At 39.0% G+C, this 19546-nt stretch overlaps 1 protein-coding gene across 13 annotated transcripts in view; it reads right to left on the reverse strand.

The window, feature by feature from the left end:
• Nucleotides 1-19546, reverse strand: part of DLG2 (discs large MAGUK scaffold protein 2) — a 2173362-nt gene that overhangs the window by 1687820 nt on the left and 465996 nt on the right. For all 13 annotated transcript variants that reach the window (NM_001351274.2, XM_017017256.3, XM_047426494.1 and 10 more), the window contains one exon: nt 11725-11820. In NM_001351274.2, the coding sequence (NP_001338203.1) occupies nt 11725-11820 (96 nt within the window). The remainder of the gene's footprint in view (nt 1-11724; nt 11821-19546) is intronic.

Consider the following 19546-nt stretch of genomic DNA (forward strand, 5'->3'; position numbering starts at 1 on the left):
TTCGGTCAATATGATATATTACATTGATTGATTTCTGTATGTTGAGACATCTGTGCATCCCTGGACGAATCTCACTTGGTCTTGATGAATAATCCTTTTAATTTGTTATTGAATTTGGTTTGTGAGTATTTTGTTGAGGATTTTTGCATCTATGTTCATCAGAGATATTTGCCTATAGTTTTCTTTTTTGATGTGTCTTTCTCCGGTTTTGGCATCGTGGTAATACTAGCCTCATGAAATGAGTTTGGAAGTGCTCCTTCCTCCTAGATTTTTTCAAGTAGTTTGAGTAGGATTGGTATTAGTTCTTTAAATATTTGGTAGAATTCATCAGTAAAGTCATTAGGTCTTGAATTTTTCTGTGATGGGAGACTTAATTATGACTTCTGTCTCATTACTTGTTATTGGTCTATTTTGGTTTCAGATTTTTTTCATGGTTGAATCTTGGTAGGTTGTATGTGTCTAGAAATTTATTTATTCTAGATTTTCCAATTCTTTGGCATATAGTTGTTGATAGTATCTCTAATGATCCTTTGAATTTCTGTGATATCAGTTGTAATGTCACGTTTTTCATCTGATTTTATATTGCGGTGTCTTCTCTCTTTTGTTCTCAGTCTGGCTAAAAGTTTGTTGATTTACTAATTTTTGCTTGTTTTGCTTTTGCTTTTCTAGTTCCTTACAATGTATCATTAGGTTATTTATTTGAAATTTCTCTACTTTTTAATGCAGGTGCTTATTGGTATACTTCCATCTTACAATTGCTTTTGCTATATCCCATAAGTTTATGTATGTTGTGTTTCCATTTTCATTTGTTTCATAAAATCTTAAAATTTCCTTCCTGATTTCTTCATTGACCTGCTTGTCACTCAGGAGCATATTGTTTAATTTCCATGTGTTTGTATAGTTTCCAAAGTTCCTCTTCTTATTGATTTTTAGTTCTATTCCATAGTGGTCAGAAAAGATATTTAATATAATTTCAATGTTTTGAATGTTTTAAGACTCATTTTGTACTTTAACATATGGTCTATCATTGAGAATGACCCATGTGCTGAAAGAAAGAATGTGCATTCTGCAGCTTTTGGATAAAATGTTCTATAATATCTATTAGGCCCATTTGGTTGACAGTGTAGATTAAGTCTGATGTTTCTTTGTTGATTTTCTGTCTGGATGATCTGTTCAATGCTAAAAATGGGTTGTTGAGCTCTCCAGCTAGTATTGTATTGTGGTCTTTCTTTCTCTTTAGCCTTAATAATATTTGTTTTATATATATGGGTGCTCTAGTGTTGGGTGCATATACATTTATAATTGTTATATCCTCTTGCCAAATGGACTCCTTTATCATTATATAATGTCCTTCTTTGTCTCTTCCTTTAGTTCCTATCTTAGAATTTATTCTATCTGATATAGGTATAGCTAATTCCTGCTCTTTCTTAGTTTACATTTGTACAGAATATCTTTTTCCATCCCTTTAATTTCACTCTATAGGTGAAGTGAGTTTTGTAGGCAGCATATAATTGGGTCTTTTTTTTTTTTTTTTATCAGTTTAGCCACTTTATGTTTTTCATTGGAAAGTTTAGTCCATTTATAGTAAACGTTATTATTGATAGGTAAGAACTTACTCCTCCCATTTTGTTATTTGTTTTCTGGTTACTTTGTGGTCTTCTCTTCCCTCCTTCCTTCCTGTCTTCCTTTGTGTAAAAGTGATTTTCTCTGGTAGTATGTTCTAATTTCTTGCTTTTACTTTTCTGTGTATCTGTTGTGGGTTTTTTGATCCGAGGTTACCATGAAGCTTGCAAATAATATCTTGTAAAAAATAATTTTAAACTAATGACAACCTAACTGATTTCAGAAACAATGCACAAGCAAAGAGAAAACTTAAAAAAAAACTCTACACTTTATCCTCCATGTTCTTTGACTTTTAGTTGTTTCTATATATTTTTATACTATCTATTTCTTAGAAATATGTTGTAGTTATTATTTTTGATTAGTTCTTTTACTATTCCTATTCAAGATATGAGTGGTTTACACACCACAATTACAGTGTTGCAGTATTCTGTATTTGGCTGTGTATTTGCTGTTACCAGTGAGTTTTGTACCTTCAGATTTCTTATTGTTTGTTAATGTCCTTTTCTTTTAGATTAAAGAACTCTCTTTAGCATTGCTCTTAGGACAAGTCCACTGTTGATGAAATCCCTCAGCTGTTATTTGACTTGTAAAGTTTTATTTTTCCTTCATGTTTGAAGGCTATTTTCCCTGGATATGCTATTCTAGGATAAAAGTTGTTTCATTTTTTTTTTCCTTCAGCACTTTAAATATGTCATGCACCTCTATCTTGGACTGTCAGATTTCCACTGAAAAGGTTGTTGCCAGATGTATGCTCCCTTGCAATGTTGCTTGTTTCTTTTCTCTTGCTTCATTTAGGATCCTTTCTTTATCCTTAGCCTTTGGGAATTTGATTATTAAATGTGTTGAAGTAGTCTTATGTGGATTAAATCTGCTTAATTTTCTATGACCTTCGTCTACCCGATAATATTTTTTCTAGGTTTGGAAATGTCTCTGTTATTATTTCTTTAAATAAACTTTCTTACCTGATCTCTTTCTTTATTTCCTCCTTAAGGTCAATACATTTTACATTTTCCCTTTTGAGACTGTTTTCTAGATCTCATAGGTTTGCTTCATTCTCTTTATTATTTTTTTCTTCTTTCCCCCATGGCTGTTTTTTATACAGCCTGTCTTCAATCTCACCAACTTTTCCTTCTGCTTGATCAATTCTACTCTTCAGAGATTCGAAAGCATTTTTCATTTTGACAATAGAAATTTTTCAGCTGCAGAACTTCTGCTTGATTATTTAAAAAATTATTTCAATCTGCTTGTTAAATTTCTGGGATAAGATTTTGAATCCCTTCTCTGTGTTATCTTGATGCTCACTGAACTTTCTCAAACAACTATTTTTAATTCTGTTTCTGAAAGTTCATCTATTTCCACCACTCTAGAATTTGTCACTGGTGACTTATTTAGTTTGTTTAGTAGATCATGTTTTCCTGGATGTTCTTGATGCTTGTGGATGTTTGTTAATATCTGGGTATTTAGAAGTTAGGTATTTATTTTAAGCTTGCAGTCTCAGCTTGTTTGTACCTATCCTTCTTGAGAAGGGTTTCCAGGTATTCAAATGGAATTGGGTGTGGTGATCGAAGTCTCTGGTCACTGAAGCCATATCAACACTGGGAGATACCGCAGAACTAGTAATGCTGTAATTCTTGCAGACTCCTAGAGGTACCACCTTGGTAGGCTTGGGTAAGATCTGGGGAATTCCCTGGATTACTGGGCAGCAGTCTCTGATTCTCTTCCCTCACTTCTCACTTTCCCCAAACAGAAGTCTGTCTGTATGTCTGTTTCTCCCTCTCTCTCTCTCTCTCTCTCTCTCTCTCTCTCTCTCCTGAGCTTCCTGGAGTTGGGGGAGGGATGGCACAAGCACTCCCAAAGCTATCACAGCCAGGACTGTGCTGGATAATACCTGAAGGCATCACAGTATTTGGGTCTTATCCAAGGTCCATGGCTACTCTTTCCTGGCTGCTAGTGATGTTTCTTCAATGCCCAAGGGCTCTTTAGTCATCAGGTGGCATATTTAGCCATGAAGGGGTCCCTCCTGTCAGGGGAGCAGGTTCCCTTCTAGCCAAGGGTAGGTCTAGAGATGCCATCCAGGAGCTAGGACCTGGAATTAAGGGTTTCAGGATCCAGCGTGGTGCTTTATTTTACCGTGGCTGAGCTGGTACCCAGGTTGCAAGATGAAGTCCTTTGTACTTTTTCTTCTGCTTTCCCAAAGTCTAAGGAGTCTTTCCCAAGCTGAATGCCTGGAATTAGGGAGGGGTAACACAAACACTTCCTTGGGTGTGACAACTAGTGTCTCACTGGGTTTCATGTACCCCAAGTCCACTGGCCCCAAGCCCAGAGCAGTGCCAGGACTTATCCAAGGACTGCAAACCTTGTTACCTGACTGACATTCAAATTTATCTAGGACATTAGGCTACTTTAGTCAGCCAATGGTGGAGCTACCCCAAACTCAGGTTCCTACCACTGGGGTGGAGAATTCCCCTTTGAATGGAGCTAGTCTAAATGCTTCATCTGTGGACACCGGTGGAATTTTGCCCTATGTTGTATTCTGCTGTGAGAGGGCAGAATTGAGTTCCAATGCAATGTCTCACAATCACTTCACTCTCTCTCCTGCGAACACACAGATTTTCTGAATACATGCCATCGGTTGGGGAAGGGTGGTATAGGCAATGCGAAACTGTCTTTCCTACCTTCTTTAGTGTCTCTTTCCTTGATATAGTATTTAAGCCAGCTACTGTGATCACTCACCTAACCTTTGGTTCTTATGAAGGTGCTTTCTTGCACAGATAGTTATTCAATTTGGTGTTCCTGCAGGGGGGATAATCACTGGAACGTTCTATTCAGCCATCTTCCTCTGCCTCCCTCCTATCTATTGACTTTTTGATAAAGCCATCCTAATGAGCGTGAAGTGGTTTCTCATTGTAGTTTTGATTTGCATTTCCCTGATGATTGATAATGTTTAGCCTCTTTTTATATACCTGTTGGACATTTCTGTCTTCTTTGAAGAAATATCCACCCAAGTCTTTTGCCCATGTTTTAATTAGTTATTTGTTCCACTACTGAGTTGTATAAGTTCTTTATAAATTTTGGATATTAACCCCTTATCTAATATATGACTTGCAAATAACCATTAACTTTTCATTTACCAAGTATAAATTTTCATATGCATAATATCATTAAGTATTCATAACCAATGAATTAAGTATAATTTTACAGGTAAAGAAACTCAGACTAAGAAAAACTGACTTACCCAAAGTTATTTAACTACTGACTTGATGAACCAGTATGGTCAATATTCTTTTATTTTATTTTATTTTACTTTATGTTCCAGGATACAGACGCAGAATGTGCAGATTTGTTACATAGGTATACGTGTGCCATGGGTTGCTGCACCTATCAACCAATCATCTAGGTCTTAAATCCCACATGCATTAGCTATTTGTCCTAATGTTCTCCCTCCCCTTGCCCCCCACCCCCTGACTGGCCCTGGTGTGTGTTATTCCCCACACTGTGTCCATGTGTTCTCATTGTACAACTCCAGCTGATGAATGAGAACTTGTGTTGTTTGGTTTTCTGTTCTTGTGTTAGTTTGCTGAGGATGATGGTTTCTAGCTTCATCCATGTCCCTGCAAAAGACATTATCTCATTCCTTTCTATGGTTGCATATTATTCCATGGTGTGTATATACCACATTTTCGTTATCCAGTCTGTAATTGATGGGCATTTGGGTTGGTTCTATGTCTTTGCTATTGTGAATAGTGCTGCAATAAACATACATGTGCATGTATCTTTATAACGGAATGATTTATATTCCTTTGGGTATATACCTAGTAATGGGACTGCTGGGTCAAATGGTATTTCTGGTTGTAGATCTTTGAGGAATTGGCACACTGTCTTCCACAACAGTTGAACTAATTTACATTCCCACCAAGAGTGTGAAAGCATTCCTGTTTCTCCACAGCCTCACCAGCATCTATTGTTTGTTGCTTTTTAATAATCACCATTCTGACTGGCATGAGATGGTACCTCATTGTGGTTTTGATTTTCATTTCTCTAATGATCAGTGATGTTGAGCTTTAATTCATATGTTTGTTGGCTGCATAAATGTCGTATTTTGGGAAGTGTCTGTTCATGTCCTTTGCCCACTTTTTAATGGGGTTGCTTTTTTCTTGTAAATTTCTTTAAGTTCCTTGTAGATTCTGGATATTAGACCTTTGTCAGATGGGTAGATTGCAAAAATTTGCCCCCATTCTGTAGGTTGCCTGTTTGCTTTGATGATAGTTTCCTTTGCTGTGCAGAAGCTCTGTAGTTTAATTAGATTCCATTTGTCAATTTTGGCTTTTGTTGCTATTGCTTTTGGCATGTTCATCATGAAGTCTTTGCCCATGCCTCTGTCTTGAATGGTATTGCCTAGGTTTTTATCCAAGGTTTTTATGGTTTTGGGTTTACATTTAAGTATTTAACCCATCTTGAGTTAATTTTTGTATAAAGTATAAGGAAGGGGTCAAGTTTCAGTTTTCTGCCTATAGCTAGCCAGTTTTCCCAGCATCATTTATTAAATACGGAATCCTTTCCCCATTGCTTGCTTTTGTCTGGTTTGTTAAAGATCAGATGGTTGTAGATATGTGGTGTTGTTTCTGAGGTCTCTGTCCTGTTCCCTTGGTCTATATGTCTGTTTTGGTACCAGTACCATGCTGTTTTGGCTACTGTAGGCTTGTAGTATAGTTTGAAGTCAGGTAGCATGATGCCTCCAGCTTTGTTCTTTTTGCTCAGGATTGTCTTGGCTATATGGGCTTTTTTTGGTTCCATATGAAATTTAAAGTAGTTTTTTTCTAATTCTGTGAAGAATGTCAATAGTATTTTGACGGGAATAGCATTGAATCTATAAAATACTTTGAGCAGTATGGCCATTTTCATGCTATTGATTCTTCCTATCCATGAGGATGGAATGTATACTTGTTTGAGTTGTCTCTTATTTCAGTATGGTGAATATTCTATTGACCAAGTGGATGAAACAGGATAAATCTTGATTATCTGATGCCACTTCCCATCCCATCTTTGTTCTAATAATCTTCTGCACTTTGAAAATCACTGAACTCATTGATCCAGGTAGTAAATAGCATAAACTTCAATGTTTGGTCCTAAGTGCTCTAAATCTGAACAGAATATACTTCATTGTTTTCAAGCAAGTATAAAAAAACAGAATCCTAAATACAGATGTATTCAATTAATATAATATCATTTCTGTAGTGTTTGTGTTGCTTTAGAGACAACAAAAAAATATATTAATATTGGACTGATTAGTTAAATAAAGCTTTATAAATATATGAGACTTAACAAAATTCAAACTTGACCAGATGGAATGAGCTACGTTGGGAGGTGGTATATATCCTACAACTTGAGGCTTTCCAGCAGATGACAGAATCCCTTTTAGCAGAGTGACAATAAACAATTAAAAACTAAGGAGAGCCACTACTCTATATTGCCTTTAAAATTACCTTTAATGCTGATTCTGTAATATTTTCAAACTTGGCCCTCTGGGAAGATTAACTCAAAAACATCAGTTTTTAATTTTTTTTTTTTTTTTTTTTTTTTTTTGAGACAGAGTCTCACTCAGTCGCCCAGGCTGGAGGGCAGTGGCTTAATCTCAGCTCACTGCAGGTTCCGCCTCCCGAGTTCACGCCATTCTCCTGCCTCGGCCTCCCCAGTAGCTGGGACTACAGGCACCTGCCACTATGCTCGGCTAATTTTTTTGTATTTTTAGTAGAGACAGGGTTTCACCGTGTTAGCCAGGAAGGTCTCGATCTCCTGACCTCGTGATCCGCCCGTCTCAGCCTCCCAAAGTACTGGGATTACAGGCGTGAGCCACCGTGCCCGGCCTCCGTTTTTAAATTATTATTGTATCATAAGAAGAACCACATAACCTTAAATTTATAATACTGACCACTCTTAAGTGTAGAGTTCAATAGTGTTAAGTATATTACATTGCTGTGAAACACATACCTAGATGAGTTTTTCATCTTGAAAAACTGAAACTATATAACCAATAAACATTAATTCCCCCTCCCTCATCTCTCCAGCCCTAGGCAACTACCTCTCTACTTTGTTTTTATCAGTCTGCCTACTTTAGATACTTCATAGGAGTGGAATCATACAGTGTTTGTCCTTTTGTGACTGGCTTATTTTGCTTAGCATAATGCCCTCAAGGTCCATTCATGTTAGCATATGATAGGATTTCCTTTTGTTCCTAAGGCTACATAGTGTGTGTGTGTGTGTGTGTGTGTGTGTGTGTGTGTGTGTGTGTGTGTGTGTAACATTTTCTTTATCCATTCTTCTGTTAACGGACATTTGGGTTGCTTCCACCACTTGAGTATTGCAAATAAGGCTGTGATGACCATGGCTGTGTAAATATTTCTTCAAGATCCTGCTTTGAATTCTTTTGGATATTTACCCAGAGGTGGAATTGCTGGATCGTACGGTATTTCTATTTTTAAAGTTTTCAAGAATCTTTATACTGTTTTCCATAATGGTGGCACCATTCCCACCAATAGCATACAAGCATTTCAATTTCTCCACATCTTTATCAACACATTATTTTCTGTTATTTTGACAGCAGGCATCCTAATGGGTGTGAAATGATTTTTAATTGTGGTTTTGATTGGCATTTCCCTCATGATTAGTGGGTTGAACATTTTTCATAGATGTATTGGCCATTTGTATATTTTCTTTGGAGAATTTTCTATTCAAGTCTTTTGTCCATTTTTAGTTGTGTTACTTGTTATTTGTTGTTGAGTTGTAGAAGTTCTTCATATATTCTGGATATAAAGCTTTCACATATATATGATTTGCAAATACTTCCTCCAGTTCCATTGGTTGTCTTTTCACTCTGGTCATTGTTTTCTTTGATGTACAGAAGTCTTTAAGTTTGATGCAGTACAATTTGTTTTTTTTTTTTTGCTTTCAGTTTCCTGTGCTTCTGGTGTCATATTCAAGAAATTGTTGCCAAATCCAATGTGTCCTGACATTTTTCTATTAGTTTTATAGTTTAAATATTACATTTTCTGTAGGCATTATAGAGTTTAAAGTCTTACTTATATCTTTAATCCATCTCGAGTTAATTTTTGTATATGGTATAAAGTAAGGGCCCAACTTTATCTTTTGCATGTAGATATCCAGTTTTCCCACCACCATTTGTTAAATAAACTATCCTTTCCCCAGTGGTAGTCCTAGCTCCCTTATTTAAAATAATTTGCCATACATGCAAGGGTCTATTTCTGGGATCTACATTCTCTTTCACTGATGAATATATCTGTCTTTATGCCAGTACCACACCATCTTGATTACTGTTGCTTTGTAGTAAGCTTTGAAATCAGGATGTCTGAGGTTTCTAAGTTTGTTCTTATTCTCCAAAATTGATTAGGCTATTTAGTGTCTCGGAACTAACGCTTTTAAAATAAGGATCATGGGAAGCATTTAATGTAAACATATAGAGACAAAGGGATTCTCATTCTGCTCTCATTCCATAAAACAAACAAACATAAAAACATTCTTTCCCACAGCTGAGTGGCATTCAGAAAAAGAAGCTCCCTTCTAAATATCAGAAAGAACAGTTACCAGAAAAATAGAGCTGAGCTACAAAATTCTTGTTAATTAGAAGGTGCAGCTATTTAACAGAGTATAAATATACACTATAGCCTAAAAATAATTAAGAGCAATGCTGAAATTCTCTAAAGTACATGATCATTCTATCAAAATATACTAAATGTATTATAATAGAAAGAACTCATAAGTTATTTATTTATTAATTTTTTTTTTTTTTGAGATGGAGTCTTTCCCTGTCACCCATGCTGGAGTGCAGTGGCGCTATCTCAGCTCACTACAACCTCCACCTCCCAGGTTCAAGTGATTCTCCTGCCTCAGCCTCCCAAGTAGCTGGGATTACAGGCACACACCACCACACTTGGCTAATTTTTGTATTTAGTAGAGATGGGGTTTCACCATGTTGGCCAGGCTGGTCTCAAACTCGTGGCCTCAAGTGATCCACCCACCTTGGCCTCCCAAAGTGCTGGGATTACACCTTGGCCTCCCAAAGTGCTGGGATCACCACCTTGGCCTCCCAAAGTGCATGGGCTACCGCACCCAGCTCCACAAATTATTAATATCTAATCAGTCTCTCACTTTAGATTAGGGTTTAGATTAGGAAACTGAGGCATACAGCTAGTCTAAGTGACTTGCCCAAGAACATTCAAATAGTAAGTGTATAAAGACAATAATCTAACATCTGTTTCCAGTTATGACTTACTCTTACACGATTCTTCCTTCTCAGTCTGATATGTGTCCTACAGTCAAATGTGTTTCTACCTTGTTACCTCTCTGTTCTTACTGAAAGAAACCTAACTTTCTGCCCCACCCATTGTGGTACTTGCATGGTATTTACTTAGTCTCTTAATCAACCAGTTTTAATTCATAAGATTGTCTTTTTCAGCAGAAAACAGAGTCTAGCCAAAGTATCAAACAACTAAAACAGTATCTAAAACAAAATATTCCTGAAGGCATTTAGTGCTCTACTCATTTCTCCAATTGCATGCAACATCTAGAGCATTTACCTATCAATCCTTTCATATATAACTATCCCATTTCATCCTCTTTATATTACTATAGTATAGTAACAATAGGTATAATCTCATTTTATCTCATTTCAGGCACAATAAAAAGTCATTTAATGTGCCTGAGGTCACATGACTAATTTGTGATAGAGCCAAGATACAAATCCTGGTCTCTGACTTTGGATCTTTTGTTCATTCCATTCTATCACACTGTCCTACTTTTGATATTACACTTGGTTCTCAACAAATATGCCCCATCTCCTCTAAAGGTATTTTCTTAGTTGTTCCCATAATTGAATTAGTCAACTCTATCTATCCATTAGTCAGCTTTCCTCTAAATAACCCCATTTTTGTGCTGATACCACCTAACTCTCAATTTACTTAGTCACCAAGTCCTGTCAATTATTTCTTTAAGATTCATCATTTCTCTATAAGCTGATTACAATTTTCATTGTTTCTCACTAGGACTCTGGAATATCAAATCTCCAAGCTTTATGCTTTGCATATTAGGTTTATTTAAACACAGAAGATATCCCTAAAAAATACTCCCAATTATTTTAAATTGTTCAAAGGAAATAATAGGAATAAAATAAAGAAAGAAACCATATTAAATATGAAGTATTTATTCCTCATTAAAGGTCTAAAGTTTTCATTAATATCTTTTTATTTTCCAAATGTTAATAAAAATATCAACTCAATAAAATAAATGCAAAACTTGCAATTTATTTCAATAGCATGAATATCTACTATTTGCCAAGCAGTACTAAGCATGTTCATATTGAGGATCACATTAAAATTTCAAAAGTACCCTAAAAGATGAGGAAATGGAAGCTTTTAGCATTTAAGCAGCATAAGCTAGCAATATGCTCTCCAATTATGAAAACAAGTTTCTCTAATATATTTTTCAGCATTTATTTAATTTAGCTGCCTGGAAGGTTGGCATATTTGTATCCCACTTAGGACTAATGACTTCATTTTCAGGAAGCAAAAATACAAATATCCTTGCGAACAGCCAGGAAGTACAAAAATGTGTTTTCTAAGTATTCATGAGCCCATCATGGATGCCCACCCTCCCTCTCTTCTTTTGGAGAAAAAAAAAAAAAAAAAAAAAAAAAACAGTCTCATTGCCAAATTAGATAACTTCCTTTCCTGGAAGCACATTTAGTATTTTATTACTGTCTCAAATAGTTAACATCTTCTAGGTTAAATGAAAGTATTTTTCAAGAGAGGAAAAGTGAAATAGCTTACAAAATGACTGTGTGATAACCAGCACTTGAAGACTACGTACTAAAACACAGAACCCAAAATAAAACACACACAACTACTCAACGTGATACACATTCAGTGTCAGCTCAGAAGCCTGAGAACCCAATATGCTGACCAGGCCAAAGCTAGAAATTAGGTTACACATTTTCTTTTCTTTCTTTAACACTACTAGCACTATCCACAAAGAACAAGACAAGTCTTACCCATGAAGCCTAGTAAGAAAAGAAAACAGTATAACACTTACAGTTGTCGTCTCATCAGTTTCATTTTCAAAACTCTGATTTTCTTTATTTTGCTCAATACATGAAGCATTTTCCTTTGATCCACTGCAATCTGTAAGCTAAAATAAAAGTTTAAAAAATCAATACTCCTTTTTTATTTTCTGCAATGTATATTGTTTTCAAACTTTGAATATACACATTAAAATATCTAAGGCCTGAATAAATATTAGATGTTGCTTATTTCAATTTTAGCATATGAATGTACTATCTAACCCATTTTTATATTGCTCCCAAAGAGAAAACATAAAATGGGACAGTTATTCAAAGGCCAATTTTAAATTTCAAAGGTTTCCAGCAGGGAGTGTTGAACATGGGCTATTCAAAAGTAAATGGATGATCTGGTTAAAGCTGAGCATGGTTAATGGGAAGATGAAGATAGAGGGCTGATTTCACTTTATATAAGTTCTCATGCTTGGAGAAATCTCTATGGAAGCTATTGGAGCTCTCAGAACTAGCAGTGGCATTGACTGCCTTTGCTTTGGGCTGTCTTTTTATAACTACAGCTTTAGATGATAAAAATAATGTCTACTTTCAAAGCAAAGGGTAGGTTTGCTTACTGACCATTATAAAACAGATGTTACCTAAACTGAGGGAACACAACCTACAATATGACCCATTGAATATGACTGTATCATGTGACCATCTTTGCCTTGCACTGTAAAAATTGGGGCTTGAGAAATTGGTACAAGAAGATGTTGATAGTCTACTGCTGTTGTTGCAAGTAATTAGTCTCTGCCCTACGATTCTTTTGGCAGCATCGATGAAATTGTGGCAGACTAAATTCTTAGTTTGCAAGTAGGATACAATCTTAGACTCCTCACAGTTCTTGAGAGTGACAAGGATGGAATTCTGACAGATTCATAGTGTTCTGGAAGAGGAAGGATCAGAGACTTCTAGGCTGATGAAAGGGATTCGTGGAACATCTTTAGGAACTGGGTAGTAAACATGCTGACCACACTGAATGTTCAACTGCATAATAAGGATTCCTCACTTTAGGCCAGGCACAATGTCTCACACCTGTAATCTCAGTACTTTAGAAGGCCAAGGAGGATGGATCACCTGAGGTCAGGAGTTTGAGACCAGCCTGGCCAACGTGGTGAAACCCTATCTCTACTAAAAATATAAAAATTAGCCAGGTGTGGTGGCATGCGCCTGTAATCCCAGCTACTTGAGAGGCTGAGGCAGGAGAGTCACTTGAACCAGGGAGGTGCAGGTTGCAGTGAGCCACTGTGCTCCAGCCTGGGTGACTGAGCAAGACTCTGTATCAAAAAAAAAAAAAAAAAATCCCCTCACTTTAATGCACGTTAATGAGGAGAAATTTCTAAAGTGGTTGCAGGCTAGGACAGCTCCCAAATGGTTTTTGCCAACTCTCCTCTGGCTGGGAGAACTTCCTCACCAACCTAGCAGTCGGCCTCAGTTTCTAAGATTCACTCTAAAAGGAGTGGGTGAACAGAAATTTCCACTCCTTTTCAGGCAATAGCTATAGAGACATGTACCTGCACTGATTGTGACAGGAGAGAAATTTGCAACCACTGTGGGCAGAAGGATTTCTCTGATACTAGTCTATTGTAGACTCTCCTCTTCTCTGCTCCCGTAGTTTACATCTATCATTGTAATTAGCATATTGTATTATAAATTACATAAATGTATATGTATATATATGTGTGTGTGTGTCTACATGTATGTGTTTATGTATGTTTATCTGTCCCATTAGAGTATCTTGTAAGACAAGCAGGATATCTTACTGTTTTTCAGTCTCTAGAATAAATACATATTTGTTTGATGAATGAAAAATAAAGATTAAATTAGATGAAAAGTTGATACATAGATAGATGAACAAACTGAGAAGATGTGTCATCTCATGAAGAGCAGTTTCAGGCTCAACCACTTTGGGATACCCAGGTAGCCTCTGTATCAGAAACATAGAGCTCTTTATTTTGTGCTCCCCTCTTTGGGCCACTCCTCTTTGGTCCCATGAACTATCCAAATAAATCAGGGCAGTCAATCTGACTGTATCTCTCATGTAGATGTACATAGTAAGGACCTGTCCTCTGATGAGACCCACTGGAATCAAGATGCTGATTGAGCCTGCACTGTCACCATTGCTAATTGGATCCATCATCATACTGAACACGGCGGCACATCCACCATCATAGACTAAGCGCAAAGTAAAAGACTGCTTCCCAGGCAAAGGCTACCTGGTTGTCCTAAGGTGATTGAGCTCGGCATTTCTCTTAGCCAGATCAGAGCCCTTATTCATTGTTTGTACATTTGTTCATCTATCTATGCATCTCTTTGTGATGGTTAATACTGAGTGTCAACTTGATTGGACTGAAGGATGTAAAGTATTGTTCCTGAATATGTCTGTGAGGTTGTTGCCAAAAAGATTAACATTTGAGTGAGTGGGATGGGAAAGGCAGACTTATCCTTAATCTGGGTGGGCACCATCTAATCAGCTGCCAGTGCAGCTAGGATATAAAGCAGGCAGAAAAACACGAAAAGATTAGACTGGCCTAGCCTCCCAGCCTACATCCTTCTCCCATGCTGGATGCTTCCTGCCCTTGAACATTGGACTCCAAGTTCTTCAGTTTTGGGACTCAGACTGGCTTTCCTTGCTCCTCAGCTTGCAGATGGCCATTGTGGGACCTTGTGATCATATCAGTTAATACTTAATAAGCACATATATATATATGTGATTCTAGAGGGACAGAATATTAAGGATGAAGTCCTTTCATTGGTTTGGGGGTTTCTGGAGTTGGCTGCTTAACATGATTCGACCCAAAAATGCTAAAGGCTCTACTTCTAGTAGTATGGAGAACACTGATAGTCCTTGGCATGAACTGTTTAGAGAGTTATGCAAGATGAATGCATTTGACATTCCTGATTCACCATTCGTGAGAGGCAAGGAGTTTAGCGACTCTATACATAATACATTTGACTATATGTGGAGAATCAAGGAATATAATGAAGCTGGTTGGTTGCTCCTGAGTTCAGTGGACAAAGTGATGAAAGGAAATGATGAAATCAGGGATTCTAAATACCAGCTTCAGAAGCAGATACGGAGCCTCAAATCTGCTAAGATTACCCTGAGTGAAAGTCTTATCTCCTGTAGAGAAAGATATGAAATTGTGGGAAAACAGACACAAGCCCTTAAAGTGAGGGCACTGATTGGAAAAGAATGGGACCCTGCAACTTGGAATGGCAATGTTTGGGAGGTCTCTCATGAAGCTGGGAACACTGAGTTTGTAAACTCTGACGAAGCTTTTTTTGCCAGAAGAAACAGCTCCCCCATTCCCAGTAGTGGCAACATCCCCTCCCCGACCCATTAGCCTTTCCACCGTTGTCTGAGGAGATAAACCCCGCACTGCCTGAGAAAACAGTGACACCCTCCCCTGAGGCAGTTGCCAGGCAAGATAATGTTGATTCTCCTCAGGAGCCACCCCCAACAGCCCTGTTTGCTTCTAGACTTATAACTAGGCTGACCTCTCAGTGGGCCCTAGAGGTGAAGTTCAGAGTGTGACCTATAAGGAGGTACACTATACTCAAAAAGAACTACTTGAATTTTCTAATTTATATAAACAGAAATCTGAAGAACAGGCATGGGAATGGATATTAAGGGTGTGCGATAATGGTGGAAGGAACATAGAACTGGATCAGGCTGAATTTATTGATCCGGCCCCACTAAGTAGGGACTCTGCATTTAATGTTGCAGCTCGAGTGAAAAAAAAGGTTGTAATAATTTGTTTGTTTAGCTGAAATATGGATTAAAAGATAACCCACTGTGAGTGAGCTGGAAATGCCTGATCTCCTTTGGTTTAATGTAGAGGAAGGGATCCAAAGGCTTAGGGAGATTGGGATGGTGGAGTGGATTAGTCACTTTAGATCTACTCATCCCAGCTGGGAGGTCCAGACGATACATTCTTGACCAATGCCTTACAAAATAGATTTGTGAGGGCAGCACCTGCATCTTTGAAGGGCCCTGTAATTGTTCTACTCTGTATGTCAGATCTAAGAGTGGGAACTGCAGTCACTCAACTAAAAAAAATTTAAATACAGTGTGAATAATGGGATCCCGAGGTGGCAGGGGCCAAGCGGTAGCACTCAACCTCCAAAGGCAAGGTAAGCATAGCTACCATAATGGACAGCAGAGGCAAAATGGCAATCAGAATAGTCTGACTCGTGTAGAGCTCTGGCACTGGCTAATTAATCATAGTGTTTCTAGAAGTGAAATTGATAGGAAGCCTACTGCATTCATACTTAATGTATACAAGCAGAAAACTTCTAGGTCAAATGGACAAAAGACTAATTTGAATTATAAAAACAGAATCATGGCCCCTCAATCAATTTCCACACTTGAGTCAGTTTACAGACCCAGAACCCCTTGAATGAAGGGGAGACCAGGTCCCCTTGAGGAAGGACCCTACTACACTACCAACAATTTATACTGTTAATTTTTCTCTCTCCTTCCCCAAGGAGACCTCCAGTCTTTTACCAGGGTATCTGTGCACTGGGGAAAGGAAAATGTTCAGACAGTTCAGGGATTACTGGACACTGGCTCTGAACTGACATCGATTTCAGGGGACCCAAAAGGTCATTGTGGTCCTCCAGTTAAAGTAGGGGCTTATAGAGATCAGGTAATTCATGGAGCTTTAGCTTGGATCTGACTTACAGTGTATCCGGACTCATCCTGTGGTCATTTCTGCAGTGCCAGAATGCATAATTGGCATAGACATACTTGCAAGCTGGCAGAACCTCCACATTGGCTCCATGACTGGTAGAGTGAGGGCTATTATGGTGGGAATGCCAAATGGAAACCATTAGATCTCCCTCTACCTAGAAAAACAGTAAATCAAAAACAATATTGCATCCCTGGAGGGATTGTGGAGATTAGTGCCAACACCAAGGACTTGAAAGATGCAGGGGTGGCAATTCCCACTACATCCCCATTCAACTCTCCTATTTGGCCTGTGCAGAAGACAGTTGGATCTTGGAGAAGGACAGTGGATTATCATAAGCTTAACCAAGTGGTGACTCCAATTGCAGCTGCTGTACCAGATATGGTATCATTGCTTGAGCAAATTAACTCCTGGTACCTGCTATGCAGCCATTGGCTTGGCAAATGACTTTTTCTCCATTCCTGTTCATAAGACCCATCAGAAACAATTTGCCTTCAGCCAGCAAGGTCAACAATAGACCTTTACTGTCCTACCTCAGGGGTATATCAACTCTCCAGCTCTGTGTCATAATCTTATTTGGAGAGAACTTGATAGCTTTTTGCTTCCACAAGATACCACAATGGCCCATTACATTGATGACATTATGCTGATTGGATCCAGTGAGCAAGAAGTAGCAAACACACTGGACTTATTGGTGAGACATTTGCATGCCAGAGGATGGGAAATAAATCCAACTAAAATTCAAAGAACTTCTACCTCAGTAAAATTCTTAGGTGTCCAGTGGTGTGGGGCCTGTCAAGATATTCCTTCTAAGGTAAAAAATAAGTTGCTGAATTTGGCCCCTCCTACAACCAAGAAGGAGGCACAATGCCTAGTGGGTGTACTTGGATTTTGGAAGCAACACATTCCTCATTTAGGTGCGTTACTCCCGCCCATTTATTGAGTGACTGCCGGTTTTGAGTGTGTTCCAGAACAGGAGAAGGCTCTGCAACAGGTCCAGGCTGCTGTACAAGCTGCTCTGCCATTTGCGCCATATGACCCAGCAGATCCAATGGTGCTTGAGATGTCAGGGGCAGATAGGGATGCTGTTTGGAGCCTTCGGCAGGCCCCCATAGGTGAATCACAGCAGAGGCTTCTAGGATTTTGGAGCAAGGTTCTGCCATCTTCTGCAGATAAGTACTCTCCTTTTGAGAAACAGCTCTTGGCCTGTTATTGGGCTTTAGTGGAAACTGAACGTTTGACTATAGGTCATCAAGTTGCCATGAGACCTGAACTGCCTATCATGAACTAAATGCTTTCTGACCCATCTAGTCACAGAGTGGGTCATGCACAGCAGCATTCCATCAGCAAATGGAAGTGGTATATACATGATTGAGCTCAAGGATGTCTTGACGGCACAAGTAAGTTACATGAGGAAGTGGCTCAAATGCCCATGGTGTCCACTCCTGCCACCCTGCCTTCTCTCCCCCAGCCTGCACCAATGGCCTCATGGGGAGTTCCCTATGATCAGTTGACAGAGGAAAAGACTAGGGCCTGGTTCACAGATGGTTCTGCACAATTATGCAGGCACCATACCCCTGCATACTACAGCTGCAGCACTACAACCCCTTTCTAGGACATCGCTGAAGGTCAGAGTGAAGGGAAATCTTCCCAGTGCACAGAAGTTCAAGCAGTGTACCTCGTTCCACACTTTGCATGGAAGGAGAAATGACCAGATGTGTGATTATATGCTGATTCATGGGCTGTAGCCAATGGTTTGGCTAGATGGTCAGGGACTTGGAAGAAGCATGACTGGAAAATTGGTGACAAAGAAATCTGGGGAAGGGGTATGTGGATGGATATCTGAGTGGTCAAAAACCGTGAAGATATTTGTATCGCATGGGATTGCTCTCCAATGAGTGACCTCAGCAAAGGAGGATTTTAATAATTAAGTGGATAGGATGACCTGTTCTGTGGACATCACTCAGCCTCTTTTCACAGCCACCTGTCATTGGCCAGTGGGCCCATGAACAAAGTGGCCATGGTGGTAGGGTTGGAGGTTATACATGGGCTCAGCAACATGCAGTTCCACTCACCAAGGCTGAGCTGCCTGGTTATGGCCACTGCTGAGTGTCCAATTTGCCAGCAGCAGAGACCAACACCGAGCCCTCGATATGGCACCATTCCTCAGGATGATCAGCCAGCTACCTGGTGTCAGGTTGATTATATTGGACCTCTTCCATCATGGAAAAGGCAGAGGTTTATCCTCACTGGAATAGACAGTTACTCCGGATATGGGTTTGCCTATCCTGCACGTAATTCTTCTGCCAAGACTACCCTGTGGACTCACGGAATGCCTTAACCACAGTCATGGTATTCCATATAGCATTGCCTCTGACCAAGGCACTCACTTTACAGCTAAAGAACTGTGATTGTGGGCTCATGCTCATGCTCACTGGTCTTACCATGTTCCCCATCATCCTGAAACAGCTGGATTGACAGAACGGTGGAATATCCTTTTGAAGTCACAATTACAACACCAACAAGGTGACAATACTTTGCAGGGCTTGGCCAAAGTTCTCAAGAAGGCTTTGTATGCTCTGAATCAGCATCCAATGTATGCTACTATTTCTCCCATAGCCAGGATTCACAGGTCCAGGAATCAAGGGGTGGAAGTGGAAGTGGCACCATTCACCATGACCCCTCGTGATCCACTAGCAAAATTTTTGCCCCTGTTCCTGCAACATTACGTTCTGCTGGCCTAGAGGTCTTAGTTGAAGAGTGACAAACTCTGCCACCAGGAGACACAATGATTCCATTAACCTGGAATTGCCACCTGGACACTTTGGGCTCCTCCCACTTTTAAGTCAACAGGCTAAGAAGGGAGTTATAGTGTTGGCTGGTGTGACTGACCCGGACTATCAAGATGAAATCAGTGTACTACTCCACAACGGGAAGTAAGGAAGTGTGTGCGTGGAATACAGGAGATCCATTAGGGCCTCTCTTAGTATTACCATGCCCTGTGATTAAGGTCAATGGGAAATGACAACAGCCCAATCCAGGAAGGACTACAAATGGCTCAGACCCTTCAGGAATGAAGGTTTGGGTGACTCCACCAGGAAAAACAAAA

This window comes from Homo sapiens, chromosome 11, assembly GCF_000001405.40.
Source record: "Homo sapiens chromosome 11, GRCh38.p14 Primary Assembly".
NCBI classification, from domain to species: domain Eukaryota; kingdom Metazoa; phylum Chordata; class Mammalia; order Primates; family Hominidae; genus Homo; species Homo sapiens.